At 42.4% G+C, this 21,061-nt stretch overlaps 1 protein-coding gene across 5 annotated transcripts in view, besides 1 other annotated feature; it reads right to left on the bottom strand.

The window, feature by feature from the left end:
* The window catches only part of SNTG2 (syntrophin gamma 2), a 416,765-nt gene continuing 396,909 nt past the window's right edge, over positions 1,206-21,061 (bottom strand). For all 5 annotated transcript variants that reach the window (NM_018968.4, XM_017004361.2, XM_017004363.2 and 2 more), the window contains one exon: positions 1,206-1,476. In NM_018968.4, the coding sequence (NP_061841.2) occupies positions 1,345-1,476 (132 nt within the window). In that variant the 3' untranslated portion in view covers positions 1,206-1,344. The remainder of the gene's footprint in view (positions 1,477-21,061) is intronic.
* Positions 1,519-2,072: an enhancer, noted in NCBI's record as "H3K4me1 hESC enhancer chr2:1370519-1371072 (GRCh37/hg19 assembly coordinates)". NCBI's record gives its function as "activates a minimal SCP1, AML or CMV promoter by ChIP-STARR-seq in primed H9 embryonic stem cells {active_cell/tissue: H9 hESC(primed)}" and the evidence as "EXISTENCE:reporter gene assay evidence [ECO:0000049][PMID:30033119]".

Raw genomic sequence — 21,061 nt, 5'->3', positions numbered from 1 at the left:
TGGTATATTAAAATATTTCCCTCCTCCTAATGTCAGATAGACAAGGGGCGGGTGCAATGTGGGGAGCTATGGATTTTTGCTGAGATCTTCATCACCTCATGAAATGGAACATGGAACCTTTAGCATCTGCACTTTTTTTTTTTTTTTTTTTTTTTTGAGACAGAGTCTTGCTCTGTTGCCCAGGCTGGAGTACAGTGGTGCAATCTCGGCTCAGTGCAATCTCCACCCTCCAGGTACAAGCAATTCTTCTGCTTCAGCCTCCTGAGTAGCTGGGATTACAGGTGTCCACCACCATGCCCAGTTAATTTTTGTATTCTTAGTACAGACAGGGTTTTGCCATGTTGGCCAGGCTGCTCTTGAACCCCTAACCTCAAGTGATCCACCCGCTTCAACTTCCCAAAGTGCTAGGATTACATGCATGAGCCACCAGGCCTGGCCCACATTTTCTTTTCAATAGAACTGCAGGAGAAGGCATCTGTTTCTTACTTTCCTATACTTATAGATTGATGGTTTTATGTTCATCCTTTATTTGAAGGTTTGTCAAGAAAGTGCCTAATCCTTATTTTTCTACCTAGAGTCTGTATCTCTAAAAAAAAAATTCAAGCAACTCCAGTCAATTGCCATTAATAACAAAAATGTAAAGTATCCCTACTCAGAAGTCATAAACAATATGAGAAACAAGGAAACTAAACTGCATGCTAATATTTGATGAATTAGGAAAATAATTAAAATTCATATTTATATATGTTATTCAAAGTATGATAAATTTATAAGCATGAAGATTGATATGTAATAAGATTATAATATTAAGTAAAGTTGATTTCCTTGCCCTACATATTTTGACCAATCCCTGTTTCTCAAATACTCCTGTCACTCTGATCCCCACTGGAGGAAAAAGGAAATGACAGCCCACTGCAAAGGAGACCCTTTCCTTCCTGAGGAGAAACGTGGCACTCGCTCAGAATTTTCGATGACATATTTTATGAAAATAAATCTGGGTTTTGCCAACGTGGGAAGTGGCATGTGCAATGCCCACATGGTTCTCATGCTGCTGGGATGCGGGCTGGGGCGTGAACTGCATCAGGTGGACTGGAGTCTGAGCCACAGACTTGTGTGGGGGACGCTGGGGCTCCTCGTTGGGGGGAGACTCATGGGAAGAGGGGACCAGGCATCCCCCATGTCAGATTTAACAAGGAGGACCCGTCTTTGGAAACTAGTGACATGTTTTATTGGTATCACAACTATAGGCTCATCATAAAACAACACAAAGTTGCAATATTCTGCAGGAAAGAATCATTTCTTACGAAAATAATTTAATTTTTCAGCACTCAACAGAAACAACCTTTAGCTGCTGTACATGTATTTTCTGGCAAGACTCTGACTGTCCATGAAGCCGGGGTCCACGGAGGCCACCTTGGCTGCTATGAAGGAGTGGATGCAGTGCAGGACAGCCCTCAGGTCCTGGAACTCGAGTTCCTGGAGGAGAAAATCAGATCAAGTGTTTATTATAATTGTTGGAAGAACACGTTACAAAAATATTTAACAAAGTTTGGACCTTGTGAACTCCAAGAAAGTCCCTCCAAAAAAATAATAATAGACAGGAAATATGTATGGTTTAAAGTAAAAGGCAGAGTAACATGATCCAAATCATGATCCAAATTGGTTATAAACATGAATATACTGGGTATTTTTTATTACAACGCTGAGAATGTAACTTACTTGTTTTCTTGCACCTAACGGGGGCTAATGCTCACTTCCTTTATTTTGCATCTTCAGTGATGGGTCTTGATTAAGTCAGACCCCGTAATCTGGGCCAGGACTCAGTCTTCCCCACCTGCCCAGCACCTGTGGTGATTTTGTGATGTGGATCCCGTCGCAGCAGACCCCTGTGCTGTGTGAGTTGGCAGAACTAGCCATTGTGTCTCAGGCCGCCGTGCCTTTTGTATGGGTGCGTGTGGGCTTCATGCCAAGGCCGCCCTTGGGAGGAACAGTGCCTGCTGTGTGGGTGCATGTGGGCTTCATGCCAAGGCCACGCTTGGGAGGAACAGCGCCTGCTGTGTGGGTGCGTGTGGGCTTCATGCCAAGGCCACGCTTGGGAGGAACAGCGCCTGCTGTGTGGCGCAGAATAGGCAGTGTGCACAGCACGGCGGGAAGCGAGGAGGGGCCTTGTTCACCCACCCTGTCCCCATGGCTACGGGAGAGCAGGAAAGGGTGCCCCAGGGAGAGTTTCCTAGAGAGACGGTTATACCCCTACCCCCTCCCAATAAAAAAACTGAAACAAACTCCTGGATCCTTACCTCCGCATGTTACAGACACTAAATGTCCTGTAAAAGCAAAAATGACCCACAAAAGGTTCATCTTCTCTCCACAAACTGCCCCACATAAAGTCCCTGTGTCAAATCAACAGAAAAGTCCACAGTGAACCCCAAAGCTGACACAGAAGTTAAAGAAACTGTTTTTAGAAGTTATTCAGTTACTGGGGAAAAATCATCTTCCTGTTTTTGATGGTAAAATACGAATCTTGCCGTCCTGCCACCCCCATTCTATTGGTAGAAAAGAAGGTCTAAGTGCATTCTTCTAATGTTGTCTTTCTTCTTTGTTTGCATAACAAAATTCAATAAAATGAAGAAAATAAAATTTATTTTGAGGTGACTGCTAATTGATTGACATCCTATTTTCTAAATCTCACCAAAATTCTAGCATATTCTAAACTGCTGAGATGACACCAGAAAGAAAGATAAATCATTTTCAAGAAGAAGAGCAACGCTAAGGCCTGTCAGTTCCACAGACATGCTCCTTTAAGCTCTCGAAAGGCAGGATCTTGGTCATTTTCATTCCATGGCAGAATGAGGGGGTGGAGAATGGGGCCCCAGGCAGGATTGGAGGTCACACATCACCGGGTAAAGCCCTCCCTCCCCAATAACATCCATCTCAGCTTTTCGGAGCTGCTTTTCTTTATAACTCAAAGACGTGACATCTCAAAAATGACTTCAAACTTCCCTGACAGCATGAAGTCCCCTCGGCCTCTCCCTGGTCCTCTCTGCATGCCTTTCTTTTAGAAACTGCTTCTCTCTTGCAATAGGTACAGGACCCAGCTGGACCAGCCAGAGCCCAGTGGCAGCTTGGTACAGATGACAGGGAGAGGGAGGCCAAGATGCCTACATTGGTGTGACCAGCTGTGAGAAGTGAATACCTGAAGCTTGTTCTAATACCACTAATGCCAAGTGGAGAGCCAGCGAGCCAGCCTGCCGGAAGAGGACTTCAACACAGAGGAACACCCCATGCAGGGATACACAAAGAACACTGGGGGACATTGGGTACCAACATGCTGGGAGCTGCCCCCAACCTCCTAGTGACTGCAACCAAAGGCTTCATCTTTCCTTTATTCCAATTTGAATTAAGTTCCTTCCTATGCATGTGAATGACTCTTAACATTGACAGCTACAACACTAATTATTTTGATCATTTCAAATTGTGATGAGCAAAATGTTCAAGATGTTGAGGTGTATTCTCCTGCCAAAGCTTCATAGTCTTTAGGTAGTTTCATAAAGCGTCATTACACTTGGTAACCAGCATCCCTCACTCTGGTCATGAGTGGAACCCAGGGCCTGCCCAGCCCTTGTGTTAAACTTTAATTCAAGCTGGATTCGCCAATCATACCCAAAGCGTGAGACTGTACTCAAAATCTTTTATTCATTTTGACTTATCCCTGTTAGAGGAAAAAAAAAAAACCAAGTAGCTTTCTAGAAGAAACACAAGGTTCTTGCAAACTTAGCACATATTGTAATTCAATGTATGTATGTGTTTCCAAATAGCAATTACTGAGCTTTAAAGGGACTTTTGGAGAAAAAGAGCCATAATGACCATATCATTCATGCTTCAGGGTTTTGGGTTAATTTTATTTTTTTTGAGACGGAATCTCACTCTGTCGCCCAGGCTGGAGTGCAGTGGCACAACCTCCACTCACTGCAAGCTCCGCCTCCTGGGTTCACGCCATTCTCCTGCCTCAGCCTCCTGAGTAGCTGGGACTATAGGTGCCTGTGACCACACCCAGCTAATTTTTTTTTTTTTTTTTTTTTTTGGTATTTTTAGTAGAGATGGTGTTTCACCATGTTAGCCAGGATGGTCTCAACCTCCTGACCTCGTGATCCGCCCATCTCGGCCTCCCAAGTAGCTGGGACTACAGGCGCCCACCACCATGCCTGGCTAATTTTTTTTTGTATTTTTAGTGGAGACAGGGTTTCATGTGTTAGCCAGGATGGTCTCGATTTCCTGACCTCGTGATCTGCCAGCACCGGCCTCCCAAAGTGCTGGGATTACAGGCGTGAGCCACCGCGCCCGGCCAGGGTTTTGGTTTTATACATAGAAACTGAAAATTGCTTTACAAGTTCCCAAGATGTATCCAATAATAGCACAATGCACAGAAATAAGAAGCCAAACAGCTACCAGTAATAATGCACATATTCAAAACAACATCAATAGTTTTTGGTACCATAAGTTGAAGTTACACTGCATAATCTTTGAAAGTACTAGCAATGGCTGGGTATGGTGGATCACGCCTGTAATCCCAGCACTTTGGGAGGCCGAGGTAGATGGATCACCTGAAGTTAGGAGTTTGACACCAGCCTGGCCAACATGGTGAAATGCTGTCCCTACCAAAAAAAAAAAAAAATACTAAAAATTAACTGGGCATGGTGGCAGGTGCCTGTAATCACAGCTACTTGGGAGGCTGAGGCACAAGAATCACTTGAACCCGGGAGGCGGAAGTTGCAGTGAGCCGAGATTGTGCCATTGCACTCCAGCCTGGGCAACAAGAGTGAAACTCTGTCTCAAAAAAAAAGAAAATAAAAGAAATTACTAGCTAGCAGTGAAATCGGTCACACCACTAAATTCCACACTAAAACTCAATGAGTAGTACTGAAAGCCAGGAATGAAATTAAAGCTTATGAAACAATACTCAATCCATTATGTCATGATCCAGATACTGAATAAACAAGCATCCTGTGGGCATTTCACTGAACATCTTCAATTCAGCCAAAAGCTGAGTCATGATATCTCTGGTCTGGTTAATTTTCTAACCAAGTATTACCAGCAAGGCTATCTTGAATTATGAATTTTTAACTAGAGCTGATTGAAATCACATTTTGACATTTTGTTTGAACAAAATACTTGTGTTGAGTTCTAAGCTGGGGACACCCTGTATGGATCCCTCGCTGCACTCCTCACCTGTGTTCACATGTCGGTCATGGGCTGATGTGTTTCCACCTGCAGAGGAAAGGGCACCTGCTGGCTCTCTGTGCAGGAAACAGTGTGGAATGAACAGTCCAATATGTTGGGTTAGGGAGTGTCAGCCTAATACAATGACAGAGAGAGGCTCTCCCAAAGTTTATTTGGGACTATGTAGGCAATTGCAAGCTGGGACATATGTGCTATAAGAGATTATAGGGATATCCAAAGAGGCTGGGATTCAGGAAAGCTTAAAGGCAAAGTGAGGAGGTTACAGAAGTTGTTTTGAAACCGTTATCCTTGGCTACAAGGATCAATAGCAAGGGGAGCTTGTGTCCTCATAGAAGACTTGTCTTTGCACAAGGTTGCAGTGGTCTTTGTGCAGCTTGTGGTGTTGCCAGGGTCTTTTGTGGTACTTCTTGTTATCAGGTAAATATTCATGGTTCCTCTTTCATGGGGGGGGTCCATTTTGTGAGGGTTTCACAGGAGTCATTCCATCTCAGCGCCGGTCACTTTCATGGAAGTTCTATGGAAATGCTCAGCATCGGTGACTTTCATGGAAGTTCTACTGAAATGCTCAGCGTTGGTGACTTCCATGGAAATTCTACTGAAATGCTCAGTGTCAGTCATTTTCGTGGAAGTTCTACTGAAATGCTCAGCATCGGTGACCTTCGTGGAAGTTCTACTGAAATGCTCAGCGTTGGTGACTTTCATGGAAGTTCTACTGAAATGCTCAGCATTGGTAACTTCCATGGAAGTTCTACTGAAATGCTCAGCATCGGTGACTTTCACGGAAGTTCTATTGAAATGCTCAGCGTCGGTGACCTTCGTGGAAGTTCTATTGAAATGCTCAGCGTCGGTGACTTTCACGGAAGTTCTACTGAAATGCTCAGCGTCGGTGACCTTCACGGAAGTTCTACTGAAATGCTCAGCGTTGGTGACTTTCATGGAAGTTCTACTGAAATGCTCAGTGTCGGTGACCTTCATGGAAGCTCTACTGAAATGCTCAGTGTCGGTGACCTTCATGGAAGTTCTATTGAAATGCTCAGCATTGGTGACTTTCACGGAAGTTCTACTGAAATGCTCAGCGTCGGTGACCTTCGTGGAAGTTCTACTGAAATGCTCAGCATCGGTGACCTTCATGGAAGTTCTACTGAAATGCTCAGCGTTAGTGACCTTTGTGGAAGTTCTACTGAAATGCTCAGCGTTGGTGACCTTCACAGAAGTTCTATTGAAATGCTCAGCGTCGGTGACTTTCACGGAAGTTCTACTGAAATGCTCAGTGTCGGTGACCTTCATGGAAGTTCTATTGAAATGCTTAGCGTCGGTGACTTTCACGGAAGTTCTACTGAAACACTCAGTGTTGGTGACCTTCGTGGAAGTTCTACTGAAATGCTCAGCATCGGTGTATCTCATGGAAGTTCTACTGAAATGCTCAGGGTCGGTGACCTTCGTGGAAGTTCTACTGAAATGCTCAGCATCAGTGACTTTCATGGAAGTTCTACTGAAATGCTCAGCCTCAGTGACTCTCATGGAAGTTCTACTGAAATGCTCAGCATCAATGACTTTCATGGAAGTTCTACTGAAATGCTCAGCATCAGTGACTTTCATGGAAGTTCTACTGAAATGCTCAGCGTTGGTGACCTTCATGGAAGTTCTACTGAAATGCTCAGCGTTGGTGACCTTCATGGAAGTTCTACTGAAATGCTCAGCGTTGGTGACTTTCATGGAAGTTCTACTGAAATGCTCAGCATCCGTGACTTTCATGGAAGTTCTACTGAAATGCTCAGCATCGGTGACCTTCATGGAAGTTCTACTGAAATGCTCAGCATCGGTGACCTTCATGGAAGTTCTACTGAAATGCTCAGCATCGGTGACCTTCACAGAAGTTCTACTGAAATGCTCAGCGTCGGTGACTTTCATGGAAGTTCTACTGAAATGCTCAGCATCGGTGACCTTCGTGGAAGTTCTACTGAAATGCTCAGCGTCGGTGACTTTCATGGAAGTTTTACTGAAATGTGATGGTATCAACACAGCAGCATTTCCCAAAATGTGTTTGATATTAAAAAGTTATATTTTTTAAACACTCTTTGTTTGCATAGATTTGGAGAAAAGTAGATTGAAGAAGGCGGGATACTTTTGCTATTGTGGAACTTCTCAGCCACCTCACTGTGTTAATTGCACTGTCTGTCTCCAATAATGATTTGCCATGCTGTGGTTTTCAAAATTCTGTGAGTTTTTTTTTTTAAATGGGTCAACTTGATGACCATTTATTAAATTCCATGAGAATTTCGTGCTACACACTCAATGGGACAAATCATTGTAATGTAAATTTTCTTATTGTTGGTGGAGAATGATGTAATCATAATGTCACAGGCTGTAACAAATAAAAGATGTTTACATGTTTATTTAAAGCTTCACGTTGGCCCCCACAGATGGGACAATGGAATCTGAATCCAGTGGCTGAAGCACAGAAGGCAAAGCTAGAAAAAGCACTGAGGCTTGGACCAAAGGCCCCAAGGACGCAGTTTACTGCTCAGGGCTGTGTCTGAGCTGACTGAGTTGATGGATGCTAGTGGAATGGAAGAGACAGCGCTGGGGACTGCATCAGCTTTGAATATTCCATAAGGTCAGAGCCTGTGGGTGGGATCTCCAAAAGAACTCTCTTAAGTAAGACAAAAAACCACTGGGACACGCAGGTGACTGGAATCGTTATGCAGAATCAGGCTCCAATGGTAGGCCAAGCAGACACTGCTCTCTTATTTAGAGACTCCATCTCTACAAATATTGAAAGAAAAATCACTCATCCCCTTCCTGAGTGAAGGGTTTGCTCATCTGTGTATGATGCTGGATGTAGGGGGGTGAAATCAGACACCGTATGTTTGCTGCTTCTGTCTGAGTGAGAAGGAAAGAAAATCCCCTAGGGACAGACTTTTTTTTTGTTTGTTTGTGTTTTTAAGAAAAGGAAATTAAAAACACTAGAGTAGCCTCTTTTAGTCACACAAATATAAGGGAAATAGAAAAGGCAAGGAGCTTCCCCTCACTTGTTGTGGCAGGTGCCAGTGCACAAAGAGTCCAATAACCTTCTGGAAATAAAAATATCTTGATCCTTTTGAACTTCCACCCTATACCTTCCTTCTAAGCTGTGCTGCTGGAAGGAACACACCCCAGAGAGAGCTCTCCTGAACAGGCTGGGCTGGTGATCCAGGCTTCATACAAGATCCTCCACTCTGAGGGCAGAGAGGGAGGCATGCTTCCAAAGCTGCGGTGGCTGGAGCTTTCTGGCACAGGTGAGCTCAGAGCACAAGGGCAAAGCCTCCAGATGCTGGGAAAGCCAAGAAAACAGACTGTCCCCCAGAGGCTGCAGGAGAAAGCAGCCAACACCTTGATTTTAGCCCTAAGAGACAAGTTCTTAGAGAACTGTAAGAGGATAAATGTGTGTCTCTAATCTACTATATTTGTGTTAATTTGTTAAGCATCGATAGAAAATGAATACAGATAACTTCTTTCAATCATTTAATGTACTTTTTTTTTTCCTATGGGAAAAATGGGATAGAATTTGTTCAGTGCCCTTAAATGTAAAGAAATGAAGATAAATAACCATTTTTGGTTGAATAAATTGAGCTTTAGTTTCTTTGTTTGCTTGTTTTTGGTAATATTGTTAAATGGAAAGAAGATATGGACAAAGTAAAATGTTTCTCAATATTACTACAGAAAGGCAGCATTCTAATGAAAGAGAAAAAACATGCAAAGAAATAAAATAAAGATTAGTTTATGGAAGCACATAACCAAAAATGGCAGTGGGTTTATTGGTGGACTAGAACCTAAATAGAAATTCGCAATTTAAGGATATTGATGTTGTGTAAAAGCAGTCATCTTTCCCAGCATGTAAAAAGCCATCATATGTGCTGATAAATAATATTATTTTTGAGTCTCAGCTTCTCTATCCACAGAAATTAGAGTGGTGAAATAGACAACAACAAAAACATTGAGACCTAACTATATGTTGTGTACAAGAGACTCACTTTAGATTTCAAGACACACATAGGCCAAAAGTGAAGAGATGGAATAAAATATCTCATGCAAACAAAAGGGCAGGGTGGCTGTACTTAGACAAAATAGAAATTGTTACAAGAGACAAAGAAAAATATTTTATAATGAAAACAGAATCAATCCACCAGGAAGATAGAACAACTGTAAATAAATATGCACCCAACATCAGAACACCTAAATAAAGGTTGAGCATCCCTAATCAAAAAATCTGAAATCTTGAAATGATTCAAGATCTAAATCTTTTTGAGCACTGATATGACACCTCAAGTAGAAAACTCACACCTGACACCTTTGATTTCTGATAGTTCGGTGAACACAAACTATGTTTCATATACAAAATTTTAAAAATACTATATATAATTATCTTCAGGCAATGTGTATTTGGTATATATGAAACAAATATATTTTTTGTTTAGATTTGGGTCCCATCTCCAAGATATGTCATTATGGATATACAAATATTCAAAAATCCAAAAAAAAGTCTGAAAATGAAATACTTCTGTTCCAAAGCATTTGGGATAAGGCATATTCAACCTGTGTATGAAACAAACATTGACAAAACTGAAGGTAGAAGTAGACAACAACACAACAATAGGAGCAGAGTTCAGTATCACCCTTTTAATAAGTCTTAGATCAACCAGATAGAAGAACAATAAGAAAACAAGTTTGAACAACACTATAGACTGAACAGGTATACAGAACATTCCATCTAACAGCAGTAGAAAACACAAGCTTCTCAAATGTGTACAGGAGCATTCTCCAGGACAGGCCATAGACTTCAAGCCACATATTAACAAATATAAGAAGACTGACATCATACCTAGTATCTTCTTCAACTACAAAAGCATGAAGCTAGAAATCAATAGCAGAAGGAAAATTGGAAAAAGCACAAAAATGTGGAAATTAAACAACACACTCTTGGGGAACGAATGGATCAAAGAAGAAATCAAGAGGGATACTAGAAAATATCTTGAGACAAACCAAAACAAAAACATAGCATAAATAAATTTGTGGGATGCAGCAAAAACAGTGCCAAGAGGGAAGTTTATGGTGGTAAACACCTATGTTAAAAAAGATTTCAAATAAACCAAATAACTTTATGCCTTAAGAAACTAGATAAGAAAATCAAACTAAGGTCAAAGTTAGTACAAAAAAAAAATAAAGATTGGAGCAGAACTAAATGAAAGAGAGAACATAAAAACAATAGCAAAACTCAATAAAACTAAGAGTTGGTTTTTGAAAAGATCAGCAATATTTAACTAGACTAATGTTACGGACTGAATGTTTTGTTCACCCAAAGTTCATATGCTGATGTCCTAAACTACAATAAAATCATACTTGGAGTAAGACCTTTGGGAGATAATTAGACTTAGATGAGGGCATGAGGATTGGTTCCGCTATTGGAATTAGAGTCTTTGTAAGTAGAGGAAAGGAGACCTGAGTGCTCACTGTCTCTGCATGTGAGGGCACAGAAAAAAAGTGAACATCTGCAATAGAGAAAGAAATCCATCCTCAGGAACTGAATCTACCAGCACCTTGATCTTTGATTTCACAGAGTCCAAAAGTATAAGAAATAAATGTCTGTTGTTTACACCATGGTATTTTATTTAAAATAGAAATTCAAGCTCACTAATATAACTAAGAAAAAAATAGAGAAAACTCAAAGTCAGAAATGAGAGAAGACATAAATGATGCCACAGAAGAAAAAAACAATTATGAGACTACTGTGAACAATTATATACCAACAAATTAGACCACCTAGAAAAAAATTGGATAAATTCCTAGAAACATACAACCTACCAGTCAATCATGAAGAAACCGACAATCTAAGCATACCACTAACTAGGAAGGAGAGTGAATCAGTAATCAAAAACATTCCAACAAAAGAAAAATGAGGAAGAGATGGCTCCACTGGGGAATTCTACCAAACATTAAAGAAAAATTAACATCAATCTTTGTCAAATTCTTTCAAAAACTGAAGAGGACAGAACACTTCCAAACTCATTATGTAAGGCCACAGTTGCCCTTATAATAAAGCAATCAAAGGCACTACTAGTCAACTGAATTCAATAGCACATGAAAAGGATCATATTCTACAAATATGTGGAATTTATCCCTGGGACATAGGGGTACAAATCACATGATTTTAAGACTCATGAAAAGCATTCAACAAAACTCAGCAGTCTTTCATTATAAAAGTAATAAAAAGTAGGAATAGAAGAAAATTACCCGAACGTAACAAAGGCACTATGTCAAAAGTCCATGACTAACATCATACTCTATGGTGAGAGGCTGAAATCTTTTTCTCTAAGATTATGCCCACTTTTGCCCCTTCTGTTCAACACAGCGCTAGACATCCTAGCCAGAGGAATTGGTCAAGAAAAGAAATAAAGGACATTCAAATTGGAAAATGAAGACATAAAACTATCTCTGTAGAAACATAATCTTATATGTAGATAACCCTAAAGATTCCACTAAAAAATTAGAACTAATAAACAAAAATTCAGCAAAATTTCAGAAGACAAAATTGATACACACAATAAAGTTGCATTTCTACGCACTAACAACAGACGATCCAAAATAGACATTAAGAAAAAAAAAAACCCACTTACAATAGCATCAAAACAAGTAAAATACTTAAGAATAAACTTAACCAAGGAGGCAAAAAGACTTGTACACTGAAAACTATAATGCACTATTGCAAGAAATTAAAGACACAAGTAAATAAAAAAAACCACGTTAATGAATTGTAAGTCTTAATATTGTTAAAATGTGTATACTACCCAAAGTGATCTATAGATTCAATGCAACATCCATCAAAATCTCAATGGCATTTTTACAGACATAGAAAAAATCCTAAAATTTATATGAAACCACAAAAAATCCTGAATAGCTAGGGCAATGTTGAGAAAGAACAAAGTTGGAGGCATCTCACTTCCTTACTCTAAAACATATTACAAAGCCACAGTAATCAATGGTATGGTACTAAAGACACATATAAACCAATGGAACAGAATAGAGAGCCCAGAAATATACTTATACCTACATTGTCAGGTGATCTTCCACAAAGGGCTAACGCTATACAGTGGGGAAAGGTCAGTCTCTCAATAAATAGTGCTGTGAAAACTGGATATTCAGAAGCAAATGAATAAAATTGGACCTTTATCTTACACCATACAGAAAAATCAACTCAAAATAGATTAACGACTTAAACATAAGACCTGAAACTATAAAATTTCTAGAAGAAAACAGTGGAAAAGATTCATCACATTGATCTTGGCACTGATTTTCACAGATATGACACCATAACCACAGGCAACAAAAGCAAAAGTAGACATTTGGGTCCACGTCAACTGAAAAGCTTCTGCACAACAGAAGAAACAATCAGAAGAGTGTAAATGCAACCTATGGTACAGGAGAAAATACCTACAAACCATATCTAATCAGGGGTTAATGTCCAAAATGTATAAATAACTCCTACAACTCAATAGTAAAAAACAAAAAACCTGATTTTCAAAATACGCAAGGGACTTGAATAGACATTTCTCTAAAGATGACATTCAAGTGGCCAGCAAACATGAAAAGGCATTCACATCACCAAGCATTAGGGAAATGCAAATCAAAACCACACTGAGACACTACCTCACATCCATCAGGATAACTGCTGTAAAAACACACATCCACATAGAAAATACCGTGTTGACAACGGTGTGGAGAAGCTGCAACCCTTGCACATTGTGGGTGGAAAGGTAAATTGGTGCAGCTACTATGAATAGTATGGGGGTTTCTCAAAAAAATTAAAAGACAACCACGAGATGACTTAGCAATCCCTTCTCTAGGAATGCATCCGAGGAAAATGGAATCAGTATCTCCAAGAGAGACCTGCACTCCCCTGTTCATTACAGCACTACTCACAATAGCCAGGATAGGGAAACAGCCTAAACATCAGTCAACAGCAAGAATGGATAAAGAAGTATGGTGTATGCAGGTACGTTATTCAGCCTTAAAAAAGGATACACTGTTATTGTTGACAGCAACATGGATGAAGCTGGAAGACACGGTGATAAGTGACATAAGCCAGTCACAGCAGAACAAACACTGCATTATCTCACTTATATATGGAATCTAACAGGGTCAATCTCTCAGAAGGGGGAGTAGCATGGGGCTGCCAGGGGCAGGAGCTGGGGACACGGGAGTTGCCGTTCCACGGGTGCAGTTTCGGTCATGTGAGATAAAGGGGCGCAGGGATCAGCTGCACAGCAACGTGGATGTCGTTAACACGGCTGAACTCTTCACCTAAATACTTAAGAGAGTAAATCTCATGTCATGTGCTTGTTACCACACATAAACAAATACGAAAACCAGAAAGATTACGTGATTTCCCAGGTCACACAGTGGAAGGTATAAATGGCACTAACGTTGAGAGATGAATAAGAACCACGGTGTGAAATGTGTTGTAGGGCTTGGCCAGGGCCCTGCTCATGTTATTTTACTTAGTCTTGTAACAACACTTCAAGCTGACGATACATTCCCTGTTTCACACATGAAGAAATCGAGGCCACAGAAGCCTGAAGTCAAACCGACCTTGTGTGACACAGGGAGAACTTCCGCCCGGCTCTTAGACCCCGTTGCCTGTGAAACGTCTACCCAGAGGTATTTACCAACCCTGAAAAAATAAGATTTTAACCTGCTGTAAAGTCCCAAAGTATTCTCTTCTCACACGTCACTCCAGCCGATCGCATTCGCAATGTGCGACACCCTTCAGGTGGAAACGTACCCACTTTACAGATGAGAACGCGGAGGCTCAGGGAACTCAGTCAGCCGCTCTGCCTCGGAACAGCCAGTCCCTGAGCTCCAGCGCGGGGTCTTCCACTTCCCCCATGGAAACGTACCCACTTTACAGATGAGAAAGCGGAGGCTCAGGGAACTCAGGCAGCCGCTCTGCCTCGGAACAGCCAGTCCCTGAGCTCCAGCGCGGGGTCTTCCACTTCCCCCATGGAAACGTACCCACTTTACAGATGAGAAAGCGGAGGCTCAGGGAACTCAGGCAGCCGCTCTGCCACGGAACACCCAGTCCCTGAGCTCCAGCCCGGCGTTCTTCCACTTCCCCCATGGAAACGTATCCACTTTACAGATGAGGCTCAGGGAACTCAGGCAGCCGCTCTGCCACGGAACACCCAGTCCCTGAGCTCCAGCCCGGGGTCTTCCACTTCCCCCATGGAAACGTATCCACTTTACAGATGAGGCTCAGGGAACTCAGGCAGCCGCTCTGCCACGGAACACCCAGTCCCTGAGCTCCAGCCCGGCGTTCTTCCACTTCCCCCACACCTAACTCCTACAGCCCTGTCATTTTCCTCTGCAATATATCTGTCCTAATGCCTTAGATTTTTATAAAGTTTTTTAATATTTAACGGTGGCTGAAACAATGATTTTAAATATGACCCACATCTTGGCACAGTTTTCAACAGCTGAGTGCTTTAACACCCTGAATTTTTCCCTAATTAGGTAAAACTTTTAGGACGCCATGAGGCTCTATCCTGTGCTTGTCAAAATGTGAACGGTGAGGTCACCCATCACCGGAGAAAACGTTTTTTCTTTCCCACTCTTTACGCGCAGGCATGCCCCATCTATCACCAGAGTGACACTTTCAATCAACACATAAATGCTAATATTACCAAATGTCCTCAATCAATCTCCTCCAGTGGAAATCACACCTCCTTACGGCACGGTCCATTTTTCCGTCTCAGTGCACAAACTGCTGGACATTTGTCACAAAGTGTCTGTGAGATGACTGGCCCCTCCGATGAGCAGCCATCCTGGGTTCTTAGTTTTCCCAATCATTACCTAATGGCCCTATGGGAAAGGGGGCAAAGGTGAAGTCAATCAGCATTGAAGAGAACCGTTTCCACTGGGCCACAGCAATCTGAACTCAGGCTGCCTTTCACCGCAGGCCACTCCTCTGTCACTGACGGCCCCGTGAATTCAAGGAGGTGGCTGTGGGGACTTGGCCCTCAAAGCAAGACTTGAAAGAGATGGTTGTTCAATGCATGAATGAATACCTGGAATAAGCGAGGATGCTTTGTAGTTTGTCTTAGAATAAGCCCAAGAAGTATAGGATGAAATGCAACAATCACGAGGAACAGCCACACCCCGGAACTCAATTCCACACTTGCGGTGCTGCAGAGAGTCCAAGCCAGGGCCCCAGGCACTTCCTTATGTTTATACGATGAGGCTGTAGCCCTCACATATGAACACACCCTGGAGCTCAGGTCGTGCTCCTTCCGCCCACTGTTTCTGTGGGCGGGAGGTGGTGTACAGGTGACCTGGCTGTCCTGGGGATGGAGGGGGCCTGATGTGCAGCCTTTGCTCACTGCTGAGGTATATGTGCTCCCGCCACAGCCAGTTTCAAGCTCCCAGTGGTTTTGCATAATGGCTGGAAAGTTTTCCGAAAATGCACCATGTGGATTTCTGGGTGGGGGTGAGCCAGACACAGCACAGGAACACGCTGGGCAACTGTGCAGCCGGGAGGTGATGTCTTTGTGAGGCAGGACCCCACTGAGCCCCCTGAACTGCTGTGGTGACTGAATGAGGTGGCTGATGAGAATGGTAAGGTTTCCGGTACAACATCAATACCCAGCAGACATTGCTATTTTCACCAAACCATCTTTGTCAAATTAATAAGGCATCCTTAGCCTCAAAGCTAAGGTAAAATAAAATAAAATGTAGGTGATACAGTCCTCATTTTTCAAATGAGAAAACAGAGATTTAAATAACCTGTGCAAGGTGACAAGGCCAATGTGTTGCAAGACTGGCACTTGAAGTAGAATCTGATCCTTAGCCCAGTGGGACCAGCTGTTTCACTCACTGAAGATTTCAGAACCTTGAAACTATGAGGTCGCCATATTACAAAATGCCCAAGAATAAACTCATAAGCTTTATGGGGAGTGGTCCTGCAGAGACAGCATTTCCTGGGAGGCTGTTGGACAGGCAGAATCTCAGGCTCCACCCTGACCTACTGAGTTTACACTCGCAGGGTTGCTGAACTGTGTGCTCAAACCTGACACGGGGCCCAGCTGCTAGGAGGAGGCCTGCACAGGCCCAGCCTCACTGTGCCCAGGAGCTCAATGGGCAGAGGGGCCTGCATCCCAGTCCAAAGGAGCTCAGGGGGCAGAGGGGCCTGCATCCTAGTCCAAAGGAGCTCAGGAGGCAGAGGGGCTGGCATCCCATTTGAAAGGAGCAGAGGGGAGGAGAGGAGAGGCCGGTACCCCAAACACAGTCAGGAAGCTAAAGGTGCCAGGAGGATTGAGCAGAAGATGGCTTTGGTTGCAACTCGTCATTTTCATTGCACCTTGGAGGAGTAAATGATTTTTACAGTTGGGCATGGTGTGGGTGGAAGAGGTTCCAGAAAAAGGCAGGAACCAAGGCACGAGTGTAGTGAGTTAGAAAGCGATGGTCACCCTGTGGGGCTGTGCAGGGACTGTCAGAGAGGGGACTCTGCTGGTACCACTCTGCAGGGCCAGGGACCTCCAGGTCGGCTGGAAGACACCGAACCATGTCCATGGGGTGAGGACAGCTGTCCATCATGAGACATGAGGGAAAGACTGAGTACAGGACTTTCCCTCAGGAGGGGCTGCAAGAGTCCAGGGAGGGTGAGGGCATGCCAGAGGGCAGGTCAATGAGGAGGAAAGCGCCTCGTGGGCTGGCAGAGAGGGTGGGGTGAGCATTCTCCACCATGGGGGTTGGCGTTCCTGGAACAACCAGGTCAGAGACACTTCAGAGCAGTGGGATGAAGGCTTCAATGGTAAACAGTGTAAATGAGCAGGTGCTTTTCCCCCAGAATGGCAGAAACAACTGGTGACAGAGAAACAAACCCAGGCTGTTGAGCCCGGCTGGATGCGGCCGAGTGGGTAGATGACAACAGAGGACTCCGTTCACATCCCGTGTGCCTCCAATCTTATTTGGAAGTTGTTGGGTCAAGTGCCCTCTTTCTTCTACCTGTTCAGATTCGTCGGGTTAGATTCAAAGATCTACCTTCCTTGGCAGTGTTCTCTGTAATCGTGAACAGGTTACTCCGTGATTTACCTCCTGGGATACTTTCCTTGGTGTTCCTTTGACTCAGGTTTTTAAACCACCGTTTCCCCTTCAGCAAATAATGGAATTATATCTTCATAAATGTTATTTATACCCTCAGCATTATTATCTTGCCAGAAGGTTAAAAAACATCTGACTTGTGCAAACAACTCTGAATCTATCAGTCTTGCCTCTTCCTGTGCCTCCAGAGACATATTTTAAAGATGAATCCCTGCTCTTTGGAAAGCTGCTTTCACAAAGCACAGTGCTTGCACTTTACCGTAGCTCCAGAGTCAGGTAGACATACACTAAGAGAGGGAAAACAAGGAAATTAAGAGAACTGTGGGCCTGCTTTCTTCTGCTTGTATAAATATTTTATTTGGAAATTTCCAAGTTCTGACAAAGATAAATAACTCCTACACTTATCGGCCGAACAAGGTCAATTTCGTGGGGAGATGGTGTAGAATTTTACCCATTCCAAACTTGATATTGAGAGTAAAAGTAGGAATAAACATATTAAGGAATTGGGAAGACATTTTCTGATAATTTTGTCTTACAAATAATTAACAAAAACATGAAAATCAGGCATCAATTCAAGTCAATCATGTCCCTATTCACTCAAAATATCATTTGCTTTCGTAAGGCTAGTCATTATAGCCTGTTGGGCTTTTCTTTCTTTTCTTTTTCTTTTCCAATAATGACAGCTGAAAAAACTTCATATATCTTTTTTTGGAAGCATGTTGGCATTTACACTTCTATTTTCTCATTTAATAAAATAGACTTCTTACAATCACTGTTCCCTTTCCATCGTCAACATTCATCATGTTTCTCTGAGCCAAAACCTCAGCCTTCACTCAAGTCATCAATGCCAGCAAATGACAGTGTGCTTATATTTCAAAGCACATGTGCAGAAACAGCATCCGGCTGTCCTTGCTGGAAAAATCTGTGATTTATAAATTGCCAAACTCCTGCAAGAAGCACCATACAGATTAGTACAATGGATAATCATAAATAAATGGGCAATCTGGTAGCTTTTCTAAGAGGCAGAGAACACATTTGCACGTGTATCGGGGCAAGCTGTGTTGCAGGGCAACCTCCTTCCAGACCTCCATTCACACAGTGACACTTTCCCTCCTCTTTCAAAGGCTTGAAATTAATTCGACCAAAGCCCAGCAGGAACTAATGTGGTTACATCCAAGTTCCGCTTTCCAGGAAGAACCACCTTCTCCCTCTGCAGAGTCAGTTCCCCTGACCATTTTCTGAGGAATCACCACACATTAAAAAACCATAATTATCCTAATAGGCATCGCAGGGAGGGGGATGCAATGTCTGAAATGTAGAAGGCACTGGGGGGGTGATAGCAAGGCCAGGAGACTGAGGCCATCCGATTTCCTAAATGGGCATACTTCTTTTGTTGTTGTTTATAAAATTTTAATTTAAAAACATTAAAATTTTAAACAGACATTATAAGTTGTTATCCCCTCCAAAAAGCTTATAATTCATTATTTTAGAAATAATCATTTCCAAATGTTGACAAGACCTGAGCCTGGGCGGGCTGTGAGTCTTAGATGACTTAAGCTTAACTTTGATTCTATGTTTAATAATTCTTTTACCCTAAGCAAGATACTTACACTCATCCCCAGGTTCACGATGAACAAACTGAAGGTAATTACACTGTTTGTGTCCTGGGGCTTGGTGGTGATTAATGCAATCATGCATAAACAGTACCCAGCACAGTCCCTGGCATCTGGATGGCACTTAACATACAAGAGAGACTGAAACTGCCTTTGTGAAACTTATGAAGGTGAGAAAAGTAGCATAAGTGACCCCACCTTGCTTCTAACCTCACAAGCTGATGGCCTTGTTCATGCCTGGGCACAGGCCCAGCTCAGAACACAGGAATTTAGCTTCTAGTTTAACCTTAAAGCAAGGATGATAACAGCCCCTTCCCAAAGCTACCCCTGTTCTTGTTCAAGGACCAAAACTGCCTTTGTATAATTAATGAAGGGCCACAAGGTTAGCATTGTGGTAGGAACCTGAATTCTGCTAAGAGCTCTGCATAGGTAAATCATAACTAGTCATTGTTTCTTAACTTGCTTACTGCTCAGGAGTCATGTAGCTGGTGCTCATAAGACTTGTAACTTCCCTAATTGCCTCCATAGATAACATCACTATTGTAAAGACTAAGACTGGTGTTTGAGATAGTTTTTCAGACCTTATATTTTAGTAGAACAACTGATGCCACTTGGACCAGTGACCCCCCCAACCAGGAAACGATTCAGAGCACAAAGACAGTTTGGACATCCCTATCACCCCTGTGGTTTCATCCCCAACCCAGCCAATCAGCAGTTCCCATTGTCTAACCCCTTGCCGGAAGACTATCCTTTAAAATCCTAGCCTCTGAATTCTTCATAAGGAAGATTTGAAAAGTACCTCCTGTCTCCTCCTGCTCAGTTGCCTTGCAATAATTAAACTCTTTCTCTGCTGTAACACATGCTGTCTCATTGTATTGGCTGTTTTGTGCATCAGTCAAGAATAACCCACTGGGCTATAACAAGATTATTTTTAAAGAAAATAATTCATTAGAAATACACCAGGTAAGAAAGCTAGAAGCACAAGTATTAGTTTAAGCTGATTTCTGTTCAACTGTACAACAATTTGTTAATGAAAAGAGTCAAACTCTGTAAAATATTTGAAGAAATTTATTCTCAGTCAAATATGAATGGCCATGGCCTGTGACACCGCCCTCGGGAGGTCCTAGAAACATGTTCCCAAGGTGGTTAGGGCACAGCTTGATTTTATACACTTTAGGAAGACAGCAGACTTCAATCAAATACATTTAAGAAATACATTGGTTTGGTTCAGAAAGGTGGGACAACTACAAGCAAGGACTTCCAGATTAGAAGTAGACTGAAAAATTTTCTTGTTGACAATTGGTTGAGTGTATATAAAGACCTGGGATCAATAGAAAGGAATGTCTGGGTTAAGATAAAGGATTGTGGAGACCACAGTTCTTATTTGCAGAGGAAGCCTTAAGGTAGTAGGCTTTAGAGAATAGGTTGTAAAATGTTTGTTTTCAGACTTAAAGAATATGTTGATGTTAATGCCAGAGAGGCATCATGAGGCACACCCAACACTTATTTCCTATCATGGCCTGAACCAGTCTTTCAGGTTAAATTTTAAGAAATCCCTGGCTGAGGAGGAAGTCCATTCAGATGGCTGGGGGGCTTTAGAATTTTATTTTTGGTTTACAAATTATCCGTGCACACTTGCATTTAGAATAAAACATATAAAGGGCATGCTGTGCTCCAGGCAGGGTCCAGTGGCTGTTGCCATAGGAATGTCAACCTAAAGGAAGAATCTGAGGCTAAATTAATACATGTGGAGACTTTGTTTGAGCCAAGCTTGAGAGTTGCAACCCGGGGATACAGATTTAAATTGCCCTGAATATACACTCCAAAAAGCTGCAGTTACAAAAGGACCTTAAAAAAAAAAAAGAGGCAGTTTCTGAGTTGTTTACCCAAAATCTAAATTAAATACCATAAGCTACTGATTGATTGGCTATGCTTTGTTCTTTGTATCACAAATTCCAGGAACATGAAGATGATGGGTGAGGCAGCAGGGCAGGGGCACAATGCCTTTAAACAGCTGCCCCAGGCAAGGGTGCATGTGTGGGAGTGCAGGACTGCAGCCCCAAATTCATGTCTCCCTG

Source organism: Homo sapiens, chromosome 2 (assembly GCF_000001405.40).
Source record: "Homo sapiens chromosome 2, GRCh38.p14 Primary Assembly".
Classification (NCBI taxonomy): Eukaryota; Metazoa; Chordata; class Mammalia; order Primates; family Hominidae; genus Homo; species Homo sapiens.
Note: the sequence above shows the minus strand (reverse complement) of the source record. Positions and strands in the feature narration are given on the sequence as shown.